This window comes from Homo sapiens, chromosome 12 (assembly GCF_000001405.40).
Source record: "Homo sapiens chromosome 12, GRCh38.p14 Primary Assembly".
NCBI classification, from domain to species: Eukaryota; Metazoa; Chordata; class Mammalia; order Primates; family Hominidae; genus Homo; species Homo sapiens.
The window spans coordinates 33351567-33377975 of NC_000012.12; the positions used below are offsets into that span (position 1 = coordinate 33351567).

Sequence of the window (26409 nt, forward strand, 5' to 3'; positions counted from 1 at the left end):
GGTGTTCTTATTTTGATGATAGTTCTCTTGGTGAGTTACTCCATAGTTATCTCACCTCTTATTGAGATATCCTTCTCGTTTCTAATTTTCTTAGGCCCACAGAAATGTCATTAGTATCTTTATTTATACTCACAGCATTGTCCAGTACCAGTTCCACAGGGGATCTTATCTAAAATCTAGCCAAACACCAGTGATATCCTATCTCAAACTATCGATTTTCCCTCACTTCATTATGATTACCTTTGATTTCCAGTCTTAGCAAATCTCTATTCTCTGTGATAGTGCTGACTACCAAGCTGAGAGGGTTATTTCTGTGATTAAAATTTCATGGTTTCTTGCATCTGAATTCTTTGCTAGAGAGAACATTGAATATTCTCTGGAGGGAAAAAAAATAGAGCATAACAATTTTTTGTTGCAGAAATTTACCATTACAAATTCTAGGGAGTGCCCTTTCATTAGTTCTCTCCAGGAGAAATCAAATAATGGTAATAAGCTGCACAGCAAGGTTTTGACAATTTATGTTTATAATAATGAAATAATACATTTTGCATATACAGAATAATATTTTATCCAGATTTTTATTTCCAGGACCAAATAGAAAATAAAACATTTGAAACAATTAAAACAAGAATATTCTATGAAAAATTGAGTCCTACATTGTGCTATTTCTGGTCCCTCTATGGTTTATTGACCCTGCTAATATAATCATGTTTTTTTAGCCTTTAAAAAATAAGCCATTTTTTGTGCAATTAAGAATTTAGAGGGATATTATAAATTGAACTAATAATCCTCAATTTTCTGATCAAAGCAATAATAATTTCTTATAATCCTAATGTGTGGTTAATTCTATGTTATATACTCTAAAGAAATACATGGTCTTTGTTGCTGCAAGTTTCATAACTTTGACAAGAAAGCAAGTAAAAAGAGAAGTCATACACACACACACATATATATAAAATAAAGTTCTTATTTTATAGCATAAAAACAGCAAAATTAAAAATATTCTGTATGCTGGAATCCTATAGAGGCATTAATGGAGGGGTGTGAGATTTTGATTGGCCTTAGAGTATAGGAGTTAAGTTAATGGGTGGGTGAAGAAGGAAGAGCAGAGGACACAGTAGAGGAGAGGTTAGTATCCATCAAAAGATATGCCAGCTCCTTTCACCTAGGACTGCAGATCTTTGTCTAACCCTCAAATTTTGTTGGACAAACTCTTTGTGATATGTATAGAGTTCTCTTGAGCGCTGTAGGGTTTTAAGTTTCTTGTTTTTCTTAGAAATGGATGGGCTTGCTGAGGTGATTTATACCAAGTGAATTAGACCAAGTTCAGTGATGTTCAATTTTGCTCCATGTGTGGACACAGCCATAGCTCTGGAAGTTATTTAGATTTTGTGTCAATAATAGGAGGTTAACTGGTAAGGTCACTTTGTGATTCAGAATAGACAGACAAAATGTTCTGAACTGGATAATAAAATACAGCTGGACATGTGACCAAGATTGTTCTCGGGTACTGATATCTGAAACATTTTTTGTAATGTTGGAGAAAAGCAACAACATAATATGGTGAAATATGACACAGATAAGATTTAACATCTGATGTTGCCATTGTCTGCTTGTAGCACACATCTGACTTCAAGTAGCTGCAAACAAGAGGAGATTTTTGGAATTGAATAGAGATATTACAGATCCAGTGTCTTCTGGGTAGTCAGGAAACCAATATTTTAGGCTCTTGAATTTTGCTTTTTTTTTTTTAACCAAAATTTCAGGAGCTAAAGACCCTTCCTGGTATTGTAGTGCAGCTAAGAAAGAAAATAAAAAATAGGAAGAGAGAAAGAGGATAGAGCTAGAGATAGACAGAGATATAAAGACAGAGAGAAACAGGGAGAATAAGACCACAGGAAAGACAGAGACTGGATGATACATATGTATGGGCTGTCAGCTCCCTTCCTGAACCTAAACCTAATACTCAGTTCTATGAACTGAATTGAGTTCCCTCTCCCCTAAATTCATATGTTGAGGCCCTAACCCCCATTGTGATTATAGTTGGAGATAGGGCCTTTAAGGAGGTAATTGAGGTTAAATGAGGTCTCAAGTTGGAGCACAAATCCATTAGAACTGATGTCCTTTGTCTATAAGAAGAGGAAGAGACACCAGGAGTCTATTTCTCTGCACAAGCACAGAGGAAAGGCCACGTGAGGACACAGGGAGGAGGCAGCAGTCTGAAAGCCAAGAGGAAAGGCCCACCCCGAAACCGACCCTGCTGCTACCTTGCTCCTTGGACTTGTAGTCTCTAGAACTGTGAGAAAATAAATGTCTATTGTTTCAGCCATCCAGTTTGTGGTAAAGTATTTTGTCATGTCAGCCTAACCAGACTGATATACTCACTATGCCAGTAAAGGAACAGTGCAACTACCTCATCCTTGAATAGCCAAGCCATTTTCTCTGCCAAAAGGAGAATGAGGAGTACATCTTGGTTTGTGTCTAGGTGAGTTTGAGGGGACATCACACTGGAGTTGGCTCCAACTTTGCTAGCATAAAATAAATGTGTTAGATGATCCAGCAGCTCAGGAAGATCGTCAACTGCATCCCCATCTGAAATGAGTTACGGAGACTTTCCTTAACGTTAATTCTATTATGTGTCTAATATCAAAGACTGCAAGTCAGTTGGTGGTGGTTGGAATATATCAGTAGAGGTCCAAGCAGCAATACAGGATAGGTAGAAGCATTGCCTGTCGGGTGATGTGTAACTGTTTAGATTTGGCTGTGATCTAAGGGAAGCCCTCTAATCAGCCTGAAGCTTAACTGCTGGGAATGGGTGATGGGCAGGACGCTTGGAAGAGTGGGAAGGGCAGACTTCCCCTACTGCCAGGTCCTTGGATAAAATGCTCCATCAGCAGGATCCTTTGCTTTATCATCCCTCATTCCTGACCATATGATTTATTTGTGGCCAGCCTTCTAATCCTGCACTCAACTCCCCTACCACCCAGTCTACAGAAACTTGTAGTCTCATAGGAATTGAAGTGCCATGAAGTTCTTCCTCGATTTGACTATGTCCTCTCCATGCCTCAAAGAGCATAGCTTTTGAAATGAAAAGGCCAAGAAGAAACTCCTGTTTTCCTCTGTTATATTTCTCCCCTGAGAAAATAATTATGGAAAATCCAGCTGTTTTGACTATGGCAAGCAGAAGAAGAAAGGGATGGAGTTAACTCCAAGGAGGAAGAAAGAAAAAGGGATCATATTGGTAAATATCTAAAAATATTATTCTTTCATACTTGTTATGCCACCTGCTATACACATGCATGTAAATTGTTATAAGCTCCACTTTCTTGCTCCTTAAATAGGAATTTAGAGAACCAGTGTCCAATAGGTGCTACTACAGATATGTCACAGACTTAAACCATGGAGAAAGAAGTAATGTCATTAGATCAGTGGTTACATATTTTCAGGTGTTAGAGTCCTGTCTCATTTAATGAGAAAGAATGAGGGATGCTAGATGTTTTGCAATATTTAGGGCAGTCTGCACAAGAAAGAATTGTTCAGCATCCTGCATGACTTTTGTATCTTAATAATTAAAAATTTAAAAAAATTGTTCAAATAGACAAAAATTCTATTTGTGGTATACAGCATAGTGTTCAGATATATGCACATATTGTGAAATGGCTAAATCAAGCTAATTAACATGCATTATCTCACATACTTATCTTTTTTGTGGTTAGAACACAAAAATGACTCCAGTAATTTTCAAGTACAAAATATATTGTCATTAACTATAGTCACCGTAATGTACAATAGGTCTCTTGAATTTATTCCTCCCGTTTAAGTGAAAATTTGTGTCCTTTCACTAACATCTCCACCATTCCCCAAATCCCAGCCTCTGGTACACATCATTCTACTCTCTACTTCTATGAGTTTGGCTATTTTGTATTCCACATACAGGTGAGATCATGCGGTCTTTGTCTTTCAGTGCCTGGCTTGTTTCACTCAACATAATGTCCTTTACATTCATCCATGTTGTCACAAATGACAGGATTTACTTTTTTTTTTAAGGCTGGATAGTATTCCATTGTGAATATACGGCATTAAAAAAAATCTGTTTAATCATTGATGGCTACTTCAGTGGTTTCCATGTCTTTGCTATTGTGAATAATGCTACAATGAACATGGGAGTGCAGATATATCTTCAACATATCAATTCCAATTCTTTCATATATGTATACCAGAAGTGGGATTGCTGCATCACGTGGTAATTCTATTGTTAGTTTTTTGGGGGAACCTCCATACTGTTTTCCACAATGGTGGCACTAATTTACACTCTCACCGACAGGATACAAGAGTTGCTTTTTCTCCACATTTTTGTCAAAACTTCTCTTTAGTCTTTTTGATAATAGACGTTCTAACACGTGTTAAGTGATATCTCACTGTGGTTTTAATTTGCATTTCCCTGATTAGTGATGTTGAACATTTTTTTCATATATCTGTTGTCCATCTGCAAATCTTTTGACAAATGTCTATTTAGGACCTTTGCCCATTTTTAAATTGGTTTTTTGTTTTCTTGATATTGACTTACTGAATTCCTTATGTATTTTGGATATTAACCCTTTATCAGACGTACTGTTTGCAAATAGTTTCTCTCATTCAGTAGCTTGTGTCTTTACTCTGTTGATTATTTCCTTGGCTGCGCAGAAGCTTTTTAGTTTGATGTAATCCAATTTGACTATTTTTGCTTTTGTTGTCTGTGCTTTTGGGGCCGTATACAAAATTGTTGCCAAGACTAATGTCATAGAGCTTTCCCTCTATCTCTATATTTTCTTCTAGTAGTTTTACAGTTTCAGGTCTTAAGTCTTTAATTTATTTTGAGTTGACGTTTGTATATGCTGTGAGATAAGGCTCTAAATTGTCCCAAACTTTGGCTAAGGTATAAATGAGGCAGAGGTTTCGGGCAGAAGTTCAGTTAAGTAACAAACATCTGGCTGAAGTTTTTTTTGTTGCTACTTCCCTTGAGAAGCTCAGAGCATAGCCTTTGTTTGGTACCCTCCACACGCAGGTTAGCAGTTATCTAACAGCCTAACTCATATAACTTTTCATATCCAGAGTGAAAAAAATCACATTACGTAAAGTGATTTTGAAGTGTTTAGTCATTGCTTTCATGATATAGGTACAATTTATGAGAGTATGCACATGATTCATTTAGCCAAAATGGATTGCACAAATTGACTTTTACCAAAAACAACTTACAATAAAAGAATTGGTTAATGGAAGACTGTATGATACCTCAGCAGAAGAGTCTCCATTTATGGTGGAGGTACATACCACTTTATCCAAAGTTAAGTGAAATCAAGTAGCAGAAAATAAAAATTCATACTTTACACTGGAGAGTTTGTTTTTTAGATCTGCCCACAGGGCACAGGGGTGGTCCTTGGGGATGAAGTGACTCATGCTCCCAACCGTAACTAAAAGCTATTAATCTTTCTTCTTTTCCAGAAAACTGTTAACTATTTTAGAGAATTAAAGGACAATTCAACTTGTTGGATAATGCAATTTAATACAATAAAAGCTTCCCAGAAGCTTCCCACAGCTGTCACCCCAAGAGATCAAGAAAGCATGCTCCCTGCCGTATCGCAAAGAACCAAGCATCCTTTCCAGACTTCAGCAGCCCTGGGGAACTGAGAGCCCACCACCCTCCAGAGTCTACTGGGGTAAAAATCTGCTGCTTGGCATTCCTGCTATTCTCAGACCTATATTCATCCAACCACTCCCGAGTGTTTCTCATAATGCCCTGGGGCTCCTCTCCACTGATCTGGTTTCTTACTCCTCTTACACTTCCCTAAACCCTTTCACTGTGCTATTTGGTATTCCTGATCTATGATCAGGAAATTCTTACATAGTCTCAGCTTCTTCCACATATTTGCCTTAACCAGACCTCCTCCTGCAGCATTCTCAAGCAGAAGTTGCTCATTTACTCACCTCCAGGCCAGATCATGTGAACCATGCAGGCTATTAATGACTTGACCACTTGTCTCAAATGGTGTTCTCCCATCTACCTGACATTCTCACTTCCATGGGTGTGTCTTGTACCTTTTCTCATCCCCAACTGTTCCATTTTAAAATCCCCAATGCATTTCATTGAAAGGCCATAGCTGTCTATATTTCTTGTTGGCTTAAATAGCCTATTGGGATAATTGTTTTATTTTTATGCTGTAGCTCCTCAGCACCAGTCTTAACTCATGCAGCTTTCTCATAACTACTTCAGAATTGTACTCTTTATCCACAAAGACCTAATCCCTTCCCTTCTTTCCCCCTTATTCTTAGCAAATGATTTGGACTTTGATATTCATCTACTTGACATAGACATTTAGATGTCTCAGTCACTTCAAACACAGTATGTAGAAAAATACCTTTTGAACTCTTCTCCTCCATCAAAAGTGCCCCTCCTATCCCTTGAGCCCAGGAGTTCGAGGCTGGCTGCAGTGAGCTATGATCATGCTACTGCCCTCCAGCCAGGGTGACAGAGTGAGACCTTGTCTCTATAAATAGATAAATAAATAAATACCCCTCTTTCAGTGTTCTCTGTCTCTCTCTCACTCTTGCACACCTCTGATCTAGTCACTCAAAACTTTAAAACTGTAAACTTGAAATGTTCCTGTCTGCAGGCATCTCATTGCCCCTATTGGAAAGGCCATCTTCTTAGTAGTCATATGACTACATGGGCTGGCTCCTACCTATTTCTCTCCAGCCTCATCTTGTGCTACCTGCTCCTCACTCTGTGCGTGCATCTTTTTATTCCACTCATAGTCACCATCTTTCATTTCTTCTAATGCACTCAGCGTCTTTGCACGGGCAGTTTTCTCTGTTTACCACTATACCAGCAACTAGCTTACCCTTTTCATTCTTCCTGGCCCCGCTAAGATACCCTTTCCTCCAATGAAACCTCCACTGACCAAGCTCTCTACAAGACTAGGTTAAGTCCTCCTGTAATAGAATATAATAAAAAGTTGCATATCTCGATTAGAATGATTGATTATTACTATTTATTTCCTACCCTCAAAGTAAGCTTCATAGTACCAGGGTCTGGGACCATTGGATTCACCTATATAGGTTTTCAATAACATCCATGGAAAAAACAAACAGATGACTTTGAATCAGTCTGTTCACTGTATTTTACAAAGTGTAAGTGTGATGTCTTTATTGTGACTCACGGTGGTATGGTTTTCTCTCCTCATAGAAGATACAAATAAACGCAACCTCTCTATCATCTCAATTTAAAGCACTTTGCTCTTGGATCACTATCTCCTATCTTTCCAGCTCACTTCCTCTTTCTCTTCTATTCCAAAACTTTGTGCCAGTACCCCTGGAGCTGAGCATGACAGGAGAAAAACATAGAACAATACTGACTGTTCCCACTTTAAAGTCATTCCGTAAGCCTAAAAAGAGACCCTTAGTTCTGCCTAGCAGGAGGAGTGCCTTCCCCTTGGATGGTCACCGTCTCATTTTCCTGGAAGATTTTCCTACCCCCTCCTTTCTTATCCTTGGAATCCTTCCCTTGCGACCTTCCTTCACAACTGGCATTCTTCCTTCTCCACTAAGAACACTGAAGCATGCAGAAAGGGAGAAATTAGCATGGGAAAAGTAACATCGTGCTTGTGTGGTGTTGGGAATAACAGTAAATAAAGACAGTATAATGATATGAGAAAGGGGACAGAATTTCTGGAGCACTGTCTTTACATGGGTGAGCATAAAAGCACAATGTTATTTTTACCATCTTAATTTCTCTTAAAAATCTATAAAATAATATTCCGATACTATTATTTTCCAAAATGTGATTTTTAAAATGCAGTATGTCATAATTTATTTTGGCAAAGTCATATTGTTGAAAATATATACAGTGTATCTAATAGTATTTGCTATAAATATGTGGGGTTTTCTACTTGTTTATATTAACTAATATTTAATCCTATGTTATCTTTTTATACAGTGTACTTTTTTAGTGGTTTCTTGTTGTTTTCCTTCTTTTTGTGTTTTTTTCTTTTTGCTATCTAGACTACTTTGTTTTTAACCTCTATTAACTTAGTATATTCATTGTTTTCATTGTAGATATATGCTTGTAGGTAAATATAGTGTAACTATTATTTTTTAAAAATATTAGTGCCAATTAGCCACCCATGTATTATAATAAATTCAACCCCCTTTCTTTTCTTCCATCTCTTCACTCATTTCGTATCTGCTTTTTTGGTGAGGAAATCTCAAATTTTAGTTCATGTTATCATTTCATACTTTTTATATTATGTTTTCTTTTTCAAGATTTTTCTACTATATTTTGTAGTAAATTAGTATTTATTCAAACAATTTCTATTTCAGTAGTTTTATTTCGTAGAGACAGTTTCTTTATATGATGACTTTTCTATTATTAAAATCTTTGTTTTTTTATTCTTTTCTCATTTTGTTGAATTACTTCTTCAATTATCTTGCATTTAGCATATGGGTATGCTATACTCTGAACACTTGCACATTTAAAAATATATTTTCTTATTCTTATAGTTGAATGCAAATTTAGCATTGTGTAGAGTTCTTTTGTTATAACTGTTTTTTACAACACAATAACAACAAAAATAACATTGAAAAATTTCAGAATATATGACATTAAATACATTAGAAATTGATGTAATTAAGGACTGATTGCCAATTTCATGATAGAACCGTTACTAATAATTACAATTATATAATTACAATTAAAATGAAATTATCTAATCACTTACAACAGGCTAAACAAATAGAACACACCTGAAATTAATAGCAGACTATATTTATTCAGGCAACCATGTTTATATTTAAGAAAGATAGGCCAGATGTGGTGGCTCAGGCCTGTGATCTCTGCATTTTGGGAGGCCAACGCTGGGGGATTGCTTGAGCCCAGGAGTTTGAGGCCAGCCTGGGCAATATAGTAGGACCACATCTCTACAGTTTTTTTTTTTTTTTTAAATTAGTAAGGCATGATGGCACCTGCCTGAAGTCCCAGCTACTTGTGAGGTTGAGGCAGAAGTGAGTTGTGACTGTGTCACTGCACTCCAGCCTGAGCAACAGAACAAGACTCTGTCTCAAAAGAAAAAGAGAAAGTATATTTTATTGTGAATACCCTCCATAAAAGGAGAATTTTTTCAATGTATGAGTTGATAAGCCGTTCCTACAAAATTGTGCAAATTCAAAATAGGATTATAAGGATTAGAATGCTGTATGACATTGGTAATTATATCCTTGTTGGCTTATTTAGTAGTTTCTGATGGAAATATGGATGTACAAATAAATGACAGCTGTCAGTTCAGGTAAGACAGCTGAATATAAAAATTTATTTAAAAAGAGATTCTTAAATTTTATTGTTTTGAAAAGACAGCTGAAAACAGTATCAATAGTTTCTTAGAATGAGTCTTTAACAAATCAACATTCATTTGAAATAAAATCTGTGCTTATATTTAAGGCACTTACATAGGTTTGCATTTTAGTAGGGATGTAGAAAATACATGTTTTGGATTGAACAATGGTGAGGCTTCGTAAGGAGTAAAATAATTCCAAAATGTTCCAGACTTTACATTTTTTTTTTTTTTGAAACAGAGTTTCACTCCTGTTGCCCAAGCTGGAGTGCAATGGTGCAATCTCGGCTCACCGCAGCCTCTGCCTCCCGGATTCAAGCGATTCTCCTGCCTCAGCCTCTCAAATAGCTGGGATTACAAGCATGCGCCACCACGTCCGGCTAATTTTGTATTTTTAGTAGAGACAGGGTTTCTCCTTTTATATAACACTATGCATCTGAGATATGGCAGGCATTTTGTTTCCCAAAATATTTGTGAAAAAGGCAAATGTGTACCATGTAGGAAATGACATTGTTTGTTGAAAACTTATATCGAATTGTATATCATTGTATATGGCGGATTACATAAAACAATGTTGCAAAAATGAAGCTTGGCTGACTATTGGAATGGTTTGCTGAAATTGGCTTTCAGATTTGAATTTCATGTTTTCCTTGAAACTTCTATATCACACGTGAAGGGTTTGGAATTTTGCCATAAAAGTTCCAAAGTAAAAGTAATGTCATTCCCTTCTTTCTTTCCAAAAGTAGAAGCATTAAAGGGAAGCAAACACACTTAGGAGAGTAAGGAGAAGTTTTGCAAAATCAAAAACCAAAACCCAAACAACCCAAAAGGTAAACATAAAATTCTGATATTTCAAAGTTACAAGAATTATAAATAACAAAACAAAAATTTTAAAATTAAATATTTTGTGAGACTACTTATAAACAATGTTATGTAAAATAATAACACTCTTCCCAATCTCTACTCCACTGCCAGTCTTTATGTGTCAGCTTTTGACCAACAATGTTTCTATCACCACTCTTTCTTTCCTTTCCCCGTAGTTTATATCATTATAAAGACTGTAGTGGTAAATGAAAATGAACCAGGTAAATTTAAAAGGAAATATGAATATGGGGTAGATAGGAACAATCAGGGAATTAACATGGATGCAGTTTGTCTTTATCTTGGGTGAGTGAGATTTTAGAGATCAATGCCTGTTCATTTTTGCATTTATCATTTTAAGTAGTAAAATTACATTTCTGTCTCTCTCTCTTTTTTTTTTTTTTGATGGAGTCTTGCTCTGTCACCAGGCTGGAGTGCAGTGGCATGAACTCGGCTCACTGCAACCTCTGCCTCCCGGGTTCAAGCGATTCTCCTGCCTCAGCCTCCTGAGTAGCTAGGACTAGAGGTGCATGCCACCACACCAGCTAATTTTTGTATTTTTAGTAGAGGCAGGGTTTCACCATGTTGGCCAGGATGGTCTTGATCTCTTGACCTTGTGATCCACCTGCCTTGGCCTCTCAAAGTGCTGGGATTACAGGAGTGAACTACCGTGCCCGGCCCATTTTTTCTCTTTTTAACAGAATTAATTAACTACATTTGATTCACTGATCTAGTTTTGTAAACTGAGATGTGATACATAAAATATAACAAGGTAGATGTTAATTATATTAAAAATGGACCTCAGTTTTATAGAATTGTGTTCATCATAATGTTTGGTTTGTAGACGAATTATTTTCATTCATTAATGTAAAGAAAGTCCTCTTTTTGCTGGGCACGGTGGCTCACGCCCGTAATCCCAGCACTTTGGGAGGCTGAGGCAGGCGGATCACGAGGTCAGGAGATCGAGACCATCCTGGCTAACACGGTGAAACCCTGTCTCTACTAAAAATACAAAAAAAAAAAAAAAAAAATTTAGCCAGGCCTGGTGGTGGTGGGTGCCTGTAGTCCCAGCTACTCGGGAGGCTGAGTCAGGTGAATGGCATGAACCCGGGAGGCAGAGCTTGCAGTGAGCCAAGATCGTGCCACTGCACTCCAGCCTGGGCGACAGAGCAAGACTCTGTCTCAAAAAAAAAAAAAAAGAAAGTCCTCTTTTATTTTATGTACGCAGATAAGAGTGTGTATGTATGTATTTGTTAATATAAAGAGCAACCATGAACTCAAACCTTAATAATTAACTATACTGTGGCACACGCCTGTAATCCCAGCTAATTGGGAGACTGAGGCACAAAGAATCGTTTAAACTTGGGAGGCGGAGGTTGCAGTGAGGCCATCGTGGCACTGCACTCCAGCCTGGGTGACAAAGCGAGAATCTGTCTCAAAATAATAATAATAAAAATCTAGACCATTCTAGTTATTTGTATGAATATATTTATTCATCTTCATTCTATCATTCCAGCTACCATCTCCAAATAAACTCTGTCCTTAATTTTATGTCTATCATTTTCTTGTTCTGTTTTTGATAACAGCATTATTCAAATATAATTTTTATAGCAAACAATTTACATGTATATATATAATTTGTGTTGTATTAACATGGTTATACAACTATCACCACAATCAATTTTAGAGCATTTTTATCACCTCAAAAGTTAACGCTATATCCTTTGCAGTCATCCTCAATCTTCTCATCTACTGCAACCCCAGGCAACCACAAATTTACACCCTGTCTCAATGGATTTGCCTATTCTGTATATGGTATTTCATATAAATACAATCCTAAAAATATGTTGACTTTTGTAATCAGTTTCTTTCACTTAGCATAATATTTTCAAGCTTTGCATGTTGTGGCATGTCCCAGTATTTTATTCTAAATAATATATTCCATTGCATGAAAATACCATATTTGAGTTATCCATTCATTAGTTGTTGGGCATTTAGATTGTTTCCTTTTTTTTTTTTTTGACTATTATCAATAATGAAGGTATGAACATTCATGTACACCAGGAGTCCCCAACCCCCAGGGTACAGACTGGTACCAATTCATGACCTATTAGGAACCAGGGTGCACAGCAAGAGGTGAGTAGCAGGCAAATGAGCATTGCTGCCTGAGCTCCACCTCCTGTCAGATCAGTGGCAGCATTAGATTCTCACAGGAGCTCAAACCTTATTGTTAACTGCGCATGTGAGGGATCTAGGTTTCATCCTCCTAATGAGAGTCTAATGCCTGATGATTTGAGGTGAAACGGTTTCATCCTAAAACCATTCCCATCCCAGTCTGTGGAAAAATTGTTTTCCACGAAACCAGTCCCTGGTGCCAAAAAGATTAGGGAATGCTGATGTACACTTTATTTGGTGGACATATGTTTTTATTTCTCTAAGTTATATATTTAGGAGTGGAATTGCTGGTCATATGTAACTTTATGTGTAACATTCCTACCAACAATTTATGAGGTTTCAAATTTCCCCATATAGATGTCAATGCTTGTTATTATCTTTTTAATTATAGGCATTTTAGTGGTTGTGAAGTAGCTACTCATTGCGGTTTTGATTTCCCTGGTGACTAATAATGCTGAACATCTTTTCATGTACTTATTAGTCTTTTGTATCTTTTTTGGAGAAATGTCTCTTCAGATCTCTTACCCATTTTAAAATTGGATTCTTTGTCTTTTTATTATTGAATTACAGAGGTTCTTTGTATATCGAGACACAAGTCTCTAATAAGATATATGACTTACATATAATTTCTCCCGTTTGGTGGGATGTCTTTTCACTTTCTTGATGGTGTCCTTTGAAGCACAAATGATTTTAATTTTAATGAAGTCCAATTTATCTATTATTTCTTTGAAATTATCGCCAAATTCAAGGTCATGAAGATTTATGCTTATGTATCCTTCTAAGAGTTTTATCATTTTAGTTTTTACATTTAGGTCTTTGATTCACTTTGAATGAATTATTGTTTATGGTGTGAGGTAGGGGTCCAACTTCATTTATTTGGATGTGAATATCTAATTATCCTAGCATCATTTGTTGAAAAGATTATTGTTTCCCTATTTAATTGTTTGATGCCCATGTTAAAAAATGATTGATCATAAATGTGAAAGTTTTTTCCTGAATTCTCAATTTTCTTCCATTGATTTATATGCCTATTCTTGTTCTATTATCAGTCTTTATTCTCTTGCTCTTTCAAATTAGTTTATGTACAGTTTTTGTTTGCAGTGACACAATATTCTTTAGAGATTTTAAAAAAATTGTATAAAGGTATAACTATACATATTCTTTAGGGAGTGTTTTCAGTCAACATTTTCTAAGATTTATTAAGAGTTTAAATTAAGGCCAGGCATGGTGGCTCATGCCTGTAATCCCAGCACTTTGAAAGGCTGAGGTGGGCGGATAACTTGAGGTCAGGAGTTTGAGACCAGCCTGGTGAACATGGAGAAACCCCATCTCTACTAAAAATACAAAAAATTAGCCAGGTGTGGTGGTGGACACCTATAATCCCAGGTACTCGGGAGGCTGAGGCAAGTGAATTGCTTGAACCCAGAAGGTGGAGGTTGTGGTGAGCCAGAATCGCACCACTGCACTCCAGCCTGGGTGACAGAGTGAGACTCTGTTTAAAAAAAAGAAAAAAGAAAAAAAAGAGTTTAAATTAAGATTTATCCATGTTGTAGGTAGAAATAATTAAGTGATTCCACTATTGTTTAATATTTTGTTGTTAAATATACCACACTTTCTTTATCCATCACTCTTTTTATTGGCATGTGAGTCATTTCTTCTCTCCCCTCCTTGATTTTGTGCAGTTTTCCTATTAAAATTTGGTATGTATCTCCTAATCCACATGGTTGAAGTTTTCTCTGGGTATAGACTTGGGAGTGGAATTGCTCCTTCCCGTATATGTGAAAGTTTAATAGATACTTCCAAATTGTTTTCTTAATATCACTCTCCTAATAGAAATGTATTAGAAAGTCTATTGGTTTACCACCTTTTTGGAGTTAGTGTTGTGAGACTTTGTGACATTGTCAATTAATATTATGTATTGTTCTCATTATAACCCTGATTTGCATTTCCTTGATTCGTAATGAGATGGAGTACTTCTTTATGTGTTTGCTGCCCATAAGCATTCCCTCCTCTGTTAAAACCTTTCATGTTTTTTGCTTACTTTATACTGGGTTACTTAAGCTCTCCTTATTGATTTGTAAGATTTGTTTACATAACATGCTATGGACTCTTTATTAGTTATATGAGTTGTTAATATCTTATCCTCAATTTGTAGCTTGTTTTCATCCTTTTTTTGTTTTTAAATTTTTTTTAATTTTTAATTTTTTAGAGATGGGAGTCTCAATATGTTGCCCAGGCTGGAGTGCAGTGGCATGATCATAGCTCACTGCATCCTCAACTCCTGGGCTCAAGCAATCCTCTCCTTAGCCTCCTGAGTAGCTGGGACTACAGGCCTAAGCCACCACATCTGGCTGCTTTTTTACTCTAAATGTTTGTTTTGATGATGACAAGTTGTTTATTTAATGTAACAGTATTCATCACCTTTTTCAATGTAGAATACATTTTGTGTCTTTAGAAACCATTTCCTCTTTCTAACTTATTTATACTTTACAATAGAATTTTGAAAAATTTAACTTGACATTTGAATGCCACTCGAAGTTGAATTTAGTATGTAGACTGAAAAGAGGATCATGTTTATATTTTTCCCATCTTTAAAACCTGCAGTTATTAAATAGTTCCATTGTTTTCTCACAGCTTAATATGTCCCCTCTGTTATATATCTAATTTCCATATCTATGTGGCATGTTTTTACTCTGTTTGTCAATTTGCCTAACTTCATACTGTACCACACTGTTTTGCCTAACTTCATATGGTACCACACTGTTTTGATGACTATAGCTTCAGGATAAGACGATTTTTTTTTTCTTAGGTGAAATCTCAACTCCTCTTCTTCATTTTCAGCAGAATGTCTGCTCATAGACCTTTGCTTTTCCATATGCATTTAAGAATCAGCTTGTTAGTTTCCATTAAAACAAAAAACAAACAAACAGAAAACTTGTTGCAGTTTTGATTAAACTTGCTTTGAAACTCTGAGTTGTTTTGCAGTCCATTTGGAGGAAATTTAAATCTTTACTTTTGTGTGTTTCTATAATTGTCTTTGGTCAGTTCTAAGAAACTAGAAAGTTTTGGCCAGGTGTGCCTACTCCAAGGTCACAAAGATACCTTGCTTTTTCATCCAGAAGATTTATAAGCTTAAGATATCCATTTAAGTGTGATGTAGATGAAGTTAATTTTTATGTTTGATAAGAGGTAGGGGTCAAATTTTATTTTCTTATGGATTTCCAGTTGTTCCACTATCACTCTTTTTTCTTTTTTAATATCATGTAGGGTTTTTGAGTAAAAGTATGGGATGTTCAGAGATGCATTTTCTGGAGATGGAGCTGTATAGTGGAGAGTGAGTGGCCTTTAAGAGAATCTAGAGATTTGTAAACCAATTAGCAAAATTTATAAAATGCAGAAAATAGGTTTCATGGACTGAGCTATGGTAGTGGCAGTGGGAGAGATTTTTTTAAATTGAATATGATTAACAGGAGTCTATAGAACTTGAGCCTATTGACTAGGCTCCTTCTCTACTCTTCATTGCTTTTTTTTTTTTTTTTCAGGTCAGGGTCAATTTGGCATTTATTCCCTTCTTAGTTACTTCATCTGCACAAACACCCATCTTATGACTTTAAAAAATATCCCGTCTATGGGTTCTTCCTATTAATGATGGGAATGAAGTCAGTACAAAAACTAGTACCAACTATAGTTTTGCAGAATATTTTACATATTACAAGATGGCACATACATTAAGTGGTAGGTCAGGCAGAAATAACTAATCTCAATTTATAGATGAGTAGATTTAAGTGTTAATGAGGTTTATATAACTTTCATCTTAGTGATTTATCTAAAGAGGCAAATTACCTTTAATTCTTATTTTGTTTCATAGTTTGAAGGCAACTAAAAAGCAACAGGTCATAAAATGTGCATGTAGTTTGAGGGCCAAAGACCTAGATTTGAGGCCCAGCTCCATAGTCTACTACAAGACCTTGGGCTTTCATTTGATCTCTGTTAACCATGATTAGCTTATCTGTTAAATGGGTGTGATGAAATCCACATGCCTTGTGATAAGAATTAAGAAACAGTATATGTGAAAGTATTTTAAAATTGTATCAGTATGAGTTGTTATATTTCATGCCTTGTAGAGAATAAAAACCCTGATTTAGGAATGAGTTAGCCATATTTGCAAGGTTGTTGTGCTCTGCCGTTAACTACAGGTGTATCCACTTAATCAATCTGAGCCTCAATTCCTCCATCTTTAAAATGTTCACAGTAGGCCGGCGCAGTGGCTCACGCCTGTAATCCCAGCACTTTGGGAGGCCGAGGCGGGCAGATCACGAGGTCAGGAGATGGAGACCATCCCGGCTAACACTGTGAAACCCCATCTCTACTAAAAATACAAAAAATTAGCCAGGCGTGGTGGCGGGCACCTGTAGTCCCAGCTACCCGGGAGGCTGAGGCAGGAGAATGGCGTGAACCCGGTAGGCAGAGTTTGCAGTGAGCTGAGATCACACCACTGCACTCCAGCCTAGGCGATAGAGCGAGACTCCGTCTCAAAAAAAAAAAAAAAAAAAAGTCACAATAATACATCACAGACATTTTGTACACAGAGATTAGGAATATGAGAGGTAATGAGCACAGTGCTTGGTGCATAGCATGTATTCTGTATGTTTTAGGTGACATGTCCAATAAAAAACAATTTCTCCTTTAATTCTCAACTCTAGTTTTCAATTTTAACTTCTGGTTAACTTTGCACCTATTAGTGCTACTTATGCCTTGTTATTTACTAATTAGAGGTTGTTAGAGTTGTGTTCCTGGAAGCACCATTTACATAGACCACAAGCTGTTCTATTCCTCCTGGAGTTTGTGGCCTGTTTGTGCCTTGTGTTCTCGGTGTGATTTTTATCTATTAGCTCCTTCACTTTTTGGGTTGAGTTTCTGTTATTGACTCAGGTCTAGCTTCCCATTTAAAGTAAGTTTTTTACTCATGTATGTTCTAAAATTCATAAAAAATTTACTTGCTCATGAAAATGCACACAACCTAATCAGACTCACTAAATGCATTCCTAGTGGGAATGAATTCATTTCTGTTCACATAATTTATACTCATAGTTGGAACTTGGATGATTTTTTTTCACTTGGAGAAATTTTTTTTAATTCTAACTATAGCATGAAAATGGAAACTGCTTGTCAAGTGTCCTATTCGTGGTTTCTGTTTAGATTTTTGGTTTTATTCTCTGTGGACATTACCGGATACAACTTTACTCCATTCTCTGTCACTGTACAAGGGGATAGAATCAAAACTATTCAAATTTAGCACAACAAGGGATTTTTAAGCAACAGCATAAATAATGGGTTATCCATGAAAAGGATTTTTTTCTGCTTCTTTCAGACACACTGGTGGGTGACAGTCGAAATCATCCTGGAAATTGCCAGGATAAGAACTTGTGCTTTTCAGGGGAAGATAATTTTGTTTAAACTTTGCTTTACATTTCATCACACATATATTTCGATATGTACTTTTTATTTATATATATTGTATAAATGTCCTTTATAGATTATAACCTAATATTTTGACATCTGCTTTGAAGAATGATTAGTTTGAGATATGCGTATATGGAAAATTTATCTGCATTAAAAAAACAAAATAAAAACCTCTAAAAATAAATAAGGAAGAAAATCCTAATGGAAGAATGGGAAAAGACTTAATGAAATCCAAATTGCCAATCCTTATGTAAAATATGACCAATCCCTCTAGAAAAAAAGGAAATAGAAATTAAAACTTTTTTTCATGTTCAAATTGGCAGATTCAAATAATAATGGCAATTGTGGATGAGGGTACTTGGAAGCTCTCATATATTGTTAGTGGGAATATAAACTTTAAACCAGTGTGAATATGAACACTTCCTGGGGAGAAATTTGGGAATACTACTAAGAAAATTTTTTAAAGTGGCAATCTGGCTACTTTTTTAAAACGGCAACTTAGATTTCATTCAGGCTCTTCATACTGTTTGAATATAGGGATTTCAACAAGGCCAGACAGGTCAGGTCATTGAGTTTTTATCCTGCCTCATTCTGGGACGAGGCATATATATATATTTTTTTTGTTTGTTTCTTTTTTTGAGATGGAGTTTCACTCTTTGCTCTTGTTGCCCAGGCTGGAGTACAGTGGTGCAATCTCGGCTCACTGCAACCTCCGCCTCCTGGGTTCAAGTGATTCTCCTGCCTCAGCCTCCCAAGTAGTTGGGAATACAGGCGTCCACCACTATGCCTGGCTAATTTTTTGTAGTTTTAGTAGAGACGGGGTTTCACCATGTTGGCCAGGCTGGTCTTGAACTCCTGACCTCAGGTGATCCACCTGCCTCAGCCTCCCAAAGTGCTGGGATTACAGGCATGAGCTACCACGCCTGGCCTTACATATATATATATATATATTTTAAATAAACAATGACTCTAGGTACAGAACATCTGATTTGCAAACAGTTATGATTTTCTTTGTGAGTCAGTGCCTTGTTTACTGTCTAAAACTAGTAGCTATGCCTGTACTCTTGATGAAAATATTTTGAAAATTGGAGGCAAAGCACAAGAAGACAAATGACCCAGCAAAATATCTGATACACCCCAACTGCTGAATCACCTGCTAAGGTATTTCTAGGGGCTTGGAATTTTTTTGGGGGGGGGTAAAACAAATTTAGCTAATGTGTGTAAATGGCATTTGCCGCTTTTAACACTTGACTCATGCTTGTTTCATTGCTTCTTAAGGAAATAATCAAAAAATTTAAAGAATAATTTTGTGATAAAAATGGAATATATTACAGAAGACCTTTAACATATATTCAGTGCCTGAATTATTGGATTATTAATAAATATGTCATTCTGCACTACTAATGAGTGCCACAAATAATGTCTATTAAAGAAAACCTTAATAATATAAAGGTCACAAAATTAAATCTGGAAAAGATATTTTCTATAAACACAGACAAAAATAATTTATAATACTTTATTTCTTTTTCAAAGTACATATGAAACAGAGTAAAATTATATTTCAAATGCTTTCCATTTTCTTTTACAAAAGTAATCATAAACTGTATACTTCATAACAGCTTTGAGGTTTAATTGTTACATAATTCATCTGAACCTGACAAATATAGTCACACATTCTAAAGAAGACATTGTAAAAATACTGCATTGTGTAACATCTTTCAAACGTGGTTGCAAAAACATTTGTTCTAAGTAATACAATTGTATGCTGTCAAGTTTCACAAATGACTGTTTACCATGTACAAAAGCCAGAAACACGAATTTCAAAAGATTTTAAAATTTCTGTTCTATAATATGGAAATCAAAGATATTGATTTGAACAATGGCCAAGTATTAAATCACAAAATTCAGCTGAAAAATCACCTTATGAACAAAGACTAAAGGTACAAACAAATCAGATATAATGGATCCAAATAATTTGATGTTGTATGTGAAATGATGAATTTTAGTGGTTCCTGGCAGTTTAGAATAATTGGCAACATCTTGGACTCATCACATTTACAATGTGAGGCAGTTCTTTTCGACTTTGACTTCTTTTTCCTGAAATAAAGGTTTTGCTTCATTGTCCATAATTTCTCCATATTTTGCAGGTGAATCCAATCACTTCTTTCCGTTGGAAAGGTCAATAACAAGTTAATGTGAATGGCACCACTTGGGCTGGACTTTTTGTCTATAAAACAAACTATAAATGCAAATATTTTGTATATTAGAGTTGGTCTACCTGCTTCTTATTTATACAGTGATAAAATTTATGAAGTTATTCACACTGGAGATTACTATGTTCTTTAAGTGGAAAGCTTCAAGGGTATTTTTAAAGAAAAACAAAAATTATAATGAAACTCACAAAATGATCTATAAAAATATAAATAGAACAAATCATGCAATTTTTGTACAGAATAATTTAATGACCAGTTTGTACATAACCTAGGGATTATAGGTTGTTTTGGGTCCACCAACTTTATTCCATGGAAAAATCATAGCCGAATGTAATTCATATATTGATGCTCAGATTAGGACAATTAAAAAAAAACAATTTTGAAAGAGATGATGAAATAAACATCTGAAATGCATTAACCTTCCAACATTGAGATTTATTTCTCTTAACACTTTTGGCTTATATCTATAATATTCATTAATATCTAATAAATTATTTTTGAGGGAACAAAAACATGAAATTGAATAACTGAAATCCACCACACTGTGCAGTAAATAAGGGGATCTGTATACATATAACAGATTACTCTTACAGCAAAATTTCAGGAGAAAGTGGCTTATTTTTACCCTATGCCTGAAAAGATCAGGCATAACTTTGCTCTTTGGAGAGGGCTCTCATGGTACAGGTGAGTTTAGAAGAAATTATTGTCAGTTTGAGATAAAAATATTTCCATACAAATGTATCTATCAATAGCAAGTCATTTCTAGTGTCTCAGCATAGAATCATCCTAATAATTCCTCCTGGCAGGAATATGTTTAAATCATTTCAGGCATGAAAAATGCTACCCTTTCTCTTAAACGTTGTCTACTTATTTTTCAATCACCACTTCTAGTATTCAAAATGTTTGCATTCAGTAGACTGTTAAGTCACACTTCCACTTCAGCCTTTAATTTAGTGCTTGATTTTTCTAAGTCTCTGTAGCATGATGTTGTTGTGCCACCGAATCATACCCTGCTTTCTTATGATGAACAGGATGAAAGTGAAAATAACCTTTTACTTTGATGAGAAGACACTTGAACTGAGTATTAATTAACTGCCACTGTTCAAATACACATCTTTTTGGTTAACTGTTAATGGTAGATGACAACTAATTACTAATACATCTTTTATGAAATTACCGTTCACTTTAATTAACAGAATATTAAGTAATAAAACATAAAATTCTTACCTAAAAGGGTGTCACTGAATAATGTATTGGAAACAACTTTTAGTTTAATTAGCTGTTTCTCATATAAAATATAAACTCATTCTTTTCTTCGAAATAATGGGTCTTTACAGCAGGTTCAGATGAATCATATCCTGAGCCATGTCACTGAGTTAACGATTAAATGCTCTGTCATAGGTTTTTTGGGAACAATATTAAATCATATACATTTCTCTAAAAGTTAAAACACATGTCTTTTGATTTTGCATCTCAATATCATATTTCCATATGCTTTAACTTCTTTGCTCAACTGTCATTTAATTATTTTACTTTCATTCTTTGAATCATTTCTCATTGACACCAATACATTTTTAGCCTAAAGTTTATAAAAATTTAGATCAAGTAGTGTACCTCAAAACAACTAGAGTAGCTTCAAGAACAAGTGAAGAAAAGTCTGCATTTTCTTTTTATTTAGTAGAGGTCAAATGATGTTCTCAAATCCTGAACAACTCCAGGTGTTTTTTATTATCAGGCAATTAAATTACCTGGTAAGTATTACAACTAAGGTGGCAAAAAGAATCAGACGAAATTCTATAAAAATATACGTTCTTAAATAATTTCAAGTACTCTTTTTGAGGGGGTAAAGAAATTACCGCACGTTCAATGTTAAGATTTAGTGTTCCTTTATTTGTAATAGTCTTTGGCTCTTTTGGTAACTGATCCTCAAATAAGTTACATATTTTTTTATGGATAGTAAAAGTTGACCACAGGTTTGGAAGTTTGGCTTTTTCAATTTTCCAGTAATTAATCTTTAAATGAATTCTTTAGGAGATTGATAGCTCTTTATTGAGTTGCAAAATTTTAAAATAATAAACATTAGAGGAGAATAAACACAGTTGGGAATGTCAATTAAATATCACCACCAAATAGGTTCAAATATATTTGCTTTTATTTATCAAAAACCTGAGTCAGTATTGATCAGTTGTGATCTCCCTGCAGTAACTACAACGTGCACACACTTCCCAAAACTGCATAAGAAAGTGAGTGCTTGGCTCTGCTTTCCTGTCTTTATTCCCCTAGCACTAGTCCTCATGATATTTGTTGCTGAACTGTGAATATATTCAGTATGGAAATTTTTACATGTTAAATGAAGTATCAGAAACACAGGGTTGGCCTGACAAAAACAATTGTTGGGAAAAATATTATTAGGAAACCAGTGTGAAAAAAACAATGTTCTGAGTTTTATGAAAAGATATACTCCACAAACATGAGTGTTCTTTTCATATTCAATTCCCTCATCGCCCGATTGCCTGGTTAATCAGTTAAAAACAACAACAAATTCCTCCCCTAAAACTAAAAAGAATATCAATGTTATTATGCTAATGAATCAACCCTTACTCTTTTTTTTCCTAGACTGATATTTGGTAAGTCCCTGAAGAAGTCCCTGAAATTAGATGTTCATTATATACCTGAACTGCAGCTTCATAATGTGTCAGTACTGTCATTAAAATGTGATGTCCCACACAAATAAGGGGATTTGTAATATCAAATCTTATTTTAAATACTGAAACTGAAAATATTTCATCTTCAATTACAAGCAGAAAGATGGTAAGTTATGTGTATATGAATGTGTGGGCTGTGTAGAGTGAGGGTGTGTTGTATTAAAATTGTTAGGATTACATTTTAATAATATGAACTGTCATTTTTAACAATCATGCCTTATTAATCTGAGCATAAACCTACCTCCTGAATTACATGAAAGATGAGTTGTGGTGAATTTCCTCTCGCTGATCTCTTTCTCAGGATTAACACATATCCTTGCATGATGAGTTTATTCTAACTTCAAGGAAACATTTAAAAAATTCTTTTAAAACTTATTTTAATCTACAATTCCCATATTAGAGTCTTCTGATTGGCCAATGGTTCACATTTTTTCATCACAAGCATTGGCTTTTTCTCCTTAGGGAGTAAAGAAAAGCGAGTTTCTAAGAATCAACAAAAAGTCCTTAAAAATGTGTTTTTGGGTGAAAATAATTATACTCACTTAGGAAACGTAATTGCTAATTTACTTTAAGCTGCAGTTATATCTACTAATAAAACAACTGTCTCCAAAAATGTCATTCTATTAATAGTATAACTTTTTGTCTTCCTATTTGAAAAGTTTTATTTCCCAATAAAACAAATAATTTCAAAATGCAAGTGTCATCTTTCATTTTACCTATAGCAAATAATTCTTTTAGGCTCGACAAGGTAGCCAAATGTTTCCAAACAGCTTTCTTCTATTATTTTCAATGAGAAAATGTTAGCTAGGAGTACCTGTTTTCCTTAGGGTGGTATAAGCATTTTTGAAAAATCTGAGGCAGAACTGTGTTTGCCTTTAAAATGGTAATGTGCAAAATATTTACCTCTTAATTAACAGTAATGCCATCACTATAAGAGATGTCAACAAAATTTCAAGGCTTTTAAAACTTTTTTTTAATATTTAGAAATAATGGGATTTTACAAAAATAAAAATTTCATAACCGCTGATAAAATTTTCTCATCCAGGTAAATATGTTTTTATTTTCTTGCCTCTTTTTTTAAAAAAACCACCAATTTTGAAATAAGCTTGAAATATATACTATCTATACCACACATCTTAAAAGTAAGGTTGGGGTAATTCAGTATAGATACCTTCCAACAGGGCCTGAAAATGGGACAAAATATGTTGACCTGACTTAAAAGAAAGTTCTGTCTTGTAAAAACACTTGCATAGTTTTTACATGTAGTGGCCTGAACCTTGATCCTTATGAAGGCAAATGCCTTTCATGCAAGGACTGGAGGCCTGGGCCTTTAGAATTAATTTGTTTATTATTATTAAGCATTGAAGTTGTATTATTAATATTTATAGTATATTTCTATATGTTGCTGAAAATAAATCATCCTTTCTTTAAGAAAATACTGAATTCCAATGATGAGCTTCTGACTGGGTTTAAGAGTCACCATTACTGTGTACAATCTAAACGGTGATGAACACAGACAGTGTTGTTGTTCCTTTGGTGTCTGTTAGTATGGTCTATCAGAAATACAGGATCTATATGATAGCTTCAAGTCACAAAAAATACACGTCACAAAAAAATACATGTCACAGTACTTGAGAACCTTACAAACACTTAAAAATTAACTTCTGATTCTGTTCACTTAGAAATACTAATGCTACATTTGAGATGAAGATTATTAGAATTTTAAAAATATCAGTTGAACAGTGCAACAGATATTTGAGCTAATGTTACAGTAAAACAGTGTAAAATGGTAGCCACAATGGCTCAGCCTCCGTTTTTCAGCCAATAAGTATTACTTCTTAAATTTATATTCAAAATGATTCTTTAAATTTACAGCTTTGTCTATGTATTTTAAAGAACAAGCTTGAGAGACAAGTTTTGAGTTTAGCAGAGCCAAACCTCACCAAGAAAGTAATTTTCTGAGAATGAAAGAAAAGTATTATCAGATAAGTAACATTAATTTGATTGTGCAAGGATTTAATGTTGTGTAAGTTAAGTTCAAAATCTCCTTTTAAGTTTATACAGAACCACCTGCACAACTAGAAATGAACACAGTATAACAAAATCAAACCCATACATATATGACATGTGCTACTTTATACAATAGCAGCATAAACTATATTTAATTTTAGGTAAGTATGAACTGTTTAAAAAAACATTTCATATGCAAAGAATTACAACATAGTAAAACACTCTTTGTGCTAACAGGCATTTGATACGAAGGATAAAATGCCTTATGCAACTAAGGACTATATGTATTCAAGTAAAATGTATTGATGTTCAAAGTTAAAAAATCAACAATAAAAGCAAATAAAAAAGTGCACATCAAGTTTGTTCATTAGTACGGATATATTTCAAATGAGGAAACCAAACCTTCCACTTTTTTTCTGATTCAATGAGCACGTGATCCTAGATGCTTAATATCATGGTCTCATTTTGGAGGCATTATGGTGTGGAAGGTGGTTTAGGAGAAGGGCAGGATCCTTGACTATCAAAACTGGTCGCCCGGCCAGGTAACTGAAAGACAAAAATTTCATAATGTATGATCTAGTACAGAAATAGAACACAGTGGTTAGTTGTTGCTCCCTTTAAATAGTGAATATTCAACCATAATATGCGAATCTCTGAAGAAAGGAAATACATAACTCCCTTTGCCCTTCAGAACTTACCTTCTCTGCTACCATGAAGGGACATGGATGTCTCATAGAATGTAGGCAGAGCATGGTACACAGATGTACATGGAGCAGCCCTGTGTAGACAACTATTTATGACAGCAGAATAATTTCAAATTTTACAACAGGGTTTTAGCTCTTTTCTATAAAAAATAAATGGTTTACTTTAGTAAACCATTCATCTCGGCTCACTGCAACCTCTGCCTCCTGGGTTTAAGCGATTCTCTTGCCTCAGCCTCCCGAGTAGCTTGGATTACAGGCGCCCGCCACCACGCCCGGCTAATTTTTGTATTTTTAGTAGAGATCGGGTTTCACCATGTTGGCCAGGCTGGTTTACTTTAGTGAGGGAAGATTTCTAGGAAAGAGCAGTAAGAGGTTCTAAACACAAGAGACTGCATTCCACTTGCTTTAAGGCAGTTAATGAGATGAGAACTGCGTTTGGCAGATGGGAGCCCCAAGTGACAGAGATACTTTCTCACAATCCTTAAATGCCTGTATGTATTTACAAAGTTTAATTACAACAAAACAAATGATTATCTAGATAAAAGGAACCTGATTTTCTTTTTCTTTTTCTTTTTTTTTTTTTTTGAGATGGAGTCTCACTGTTGTTGCCCAGGCTGGAGTGTAGTGGTGAGATCTCAGCTCACTGCAACCTCCGCCTCCTGGGTTTAAGCAATTCTCCTGCCTCAGCCTCCCAAGTAGCTTGGATTACAGGCGCCTGCCACCAAGCCCGGCTAATTTTTGTATTTTTAGTAGAGACGGGGTTTCACCATGTTGGCCAGGCTGGTCTTGAACTCCTGACCTCAAGTGATCCACCCGCCTCAGCCTCCCAAAGTGCTGGGATTACAGTCGTGAGCCACCGCACCCGGTTGAGGAACCCGATTTTCTACATGATACTTTAGTCTTTGTTGTACCAATG

The 26409-nt window shown here is 35.3% G+C and overlaps 1 protein-coding gene across 2 annotated transcripts in view; it reads right to left on the bottom strand.

The window, feature by feature from the left end:
* Positions 1-22671: 22671 nt before the first annotated feature.
* Positions 22672-26409, bottom strand: part of SYT10 (synaptotagmin 10) — a 65582-nt gene continuing 61844 nt past the window's right edge. For both annotated transcript variants that reach the window (NM_198992.4, XM_011520644.4), the window contains one exon: positions 22672-25335. In NM_198992.4, the coding sequence (NP_945343.1) occupies positions 25264-25335 (72 nt within the window). In that variant the 3' untranslated portion in view covers positions 22672-25263. The remainder of the gene's footprint in view (positions 25336-26409) is intronic.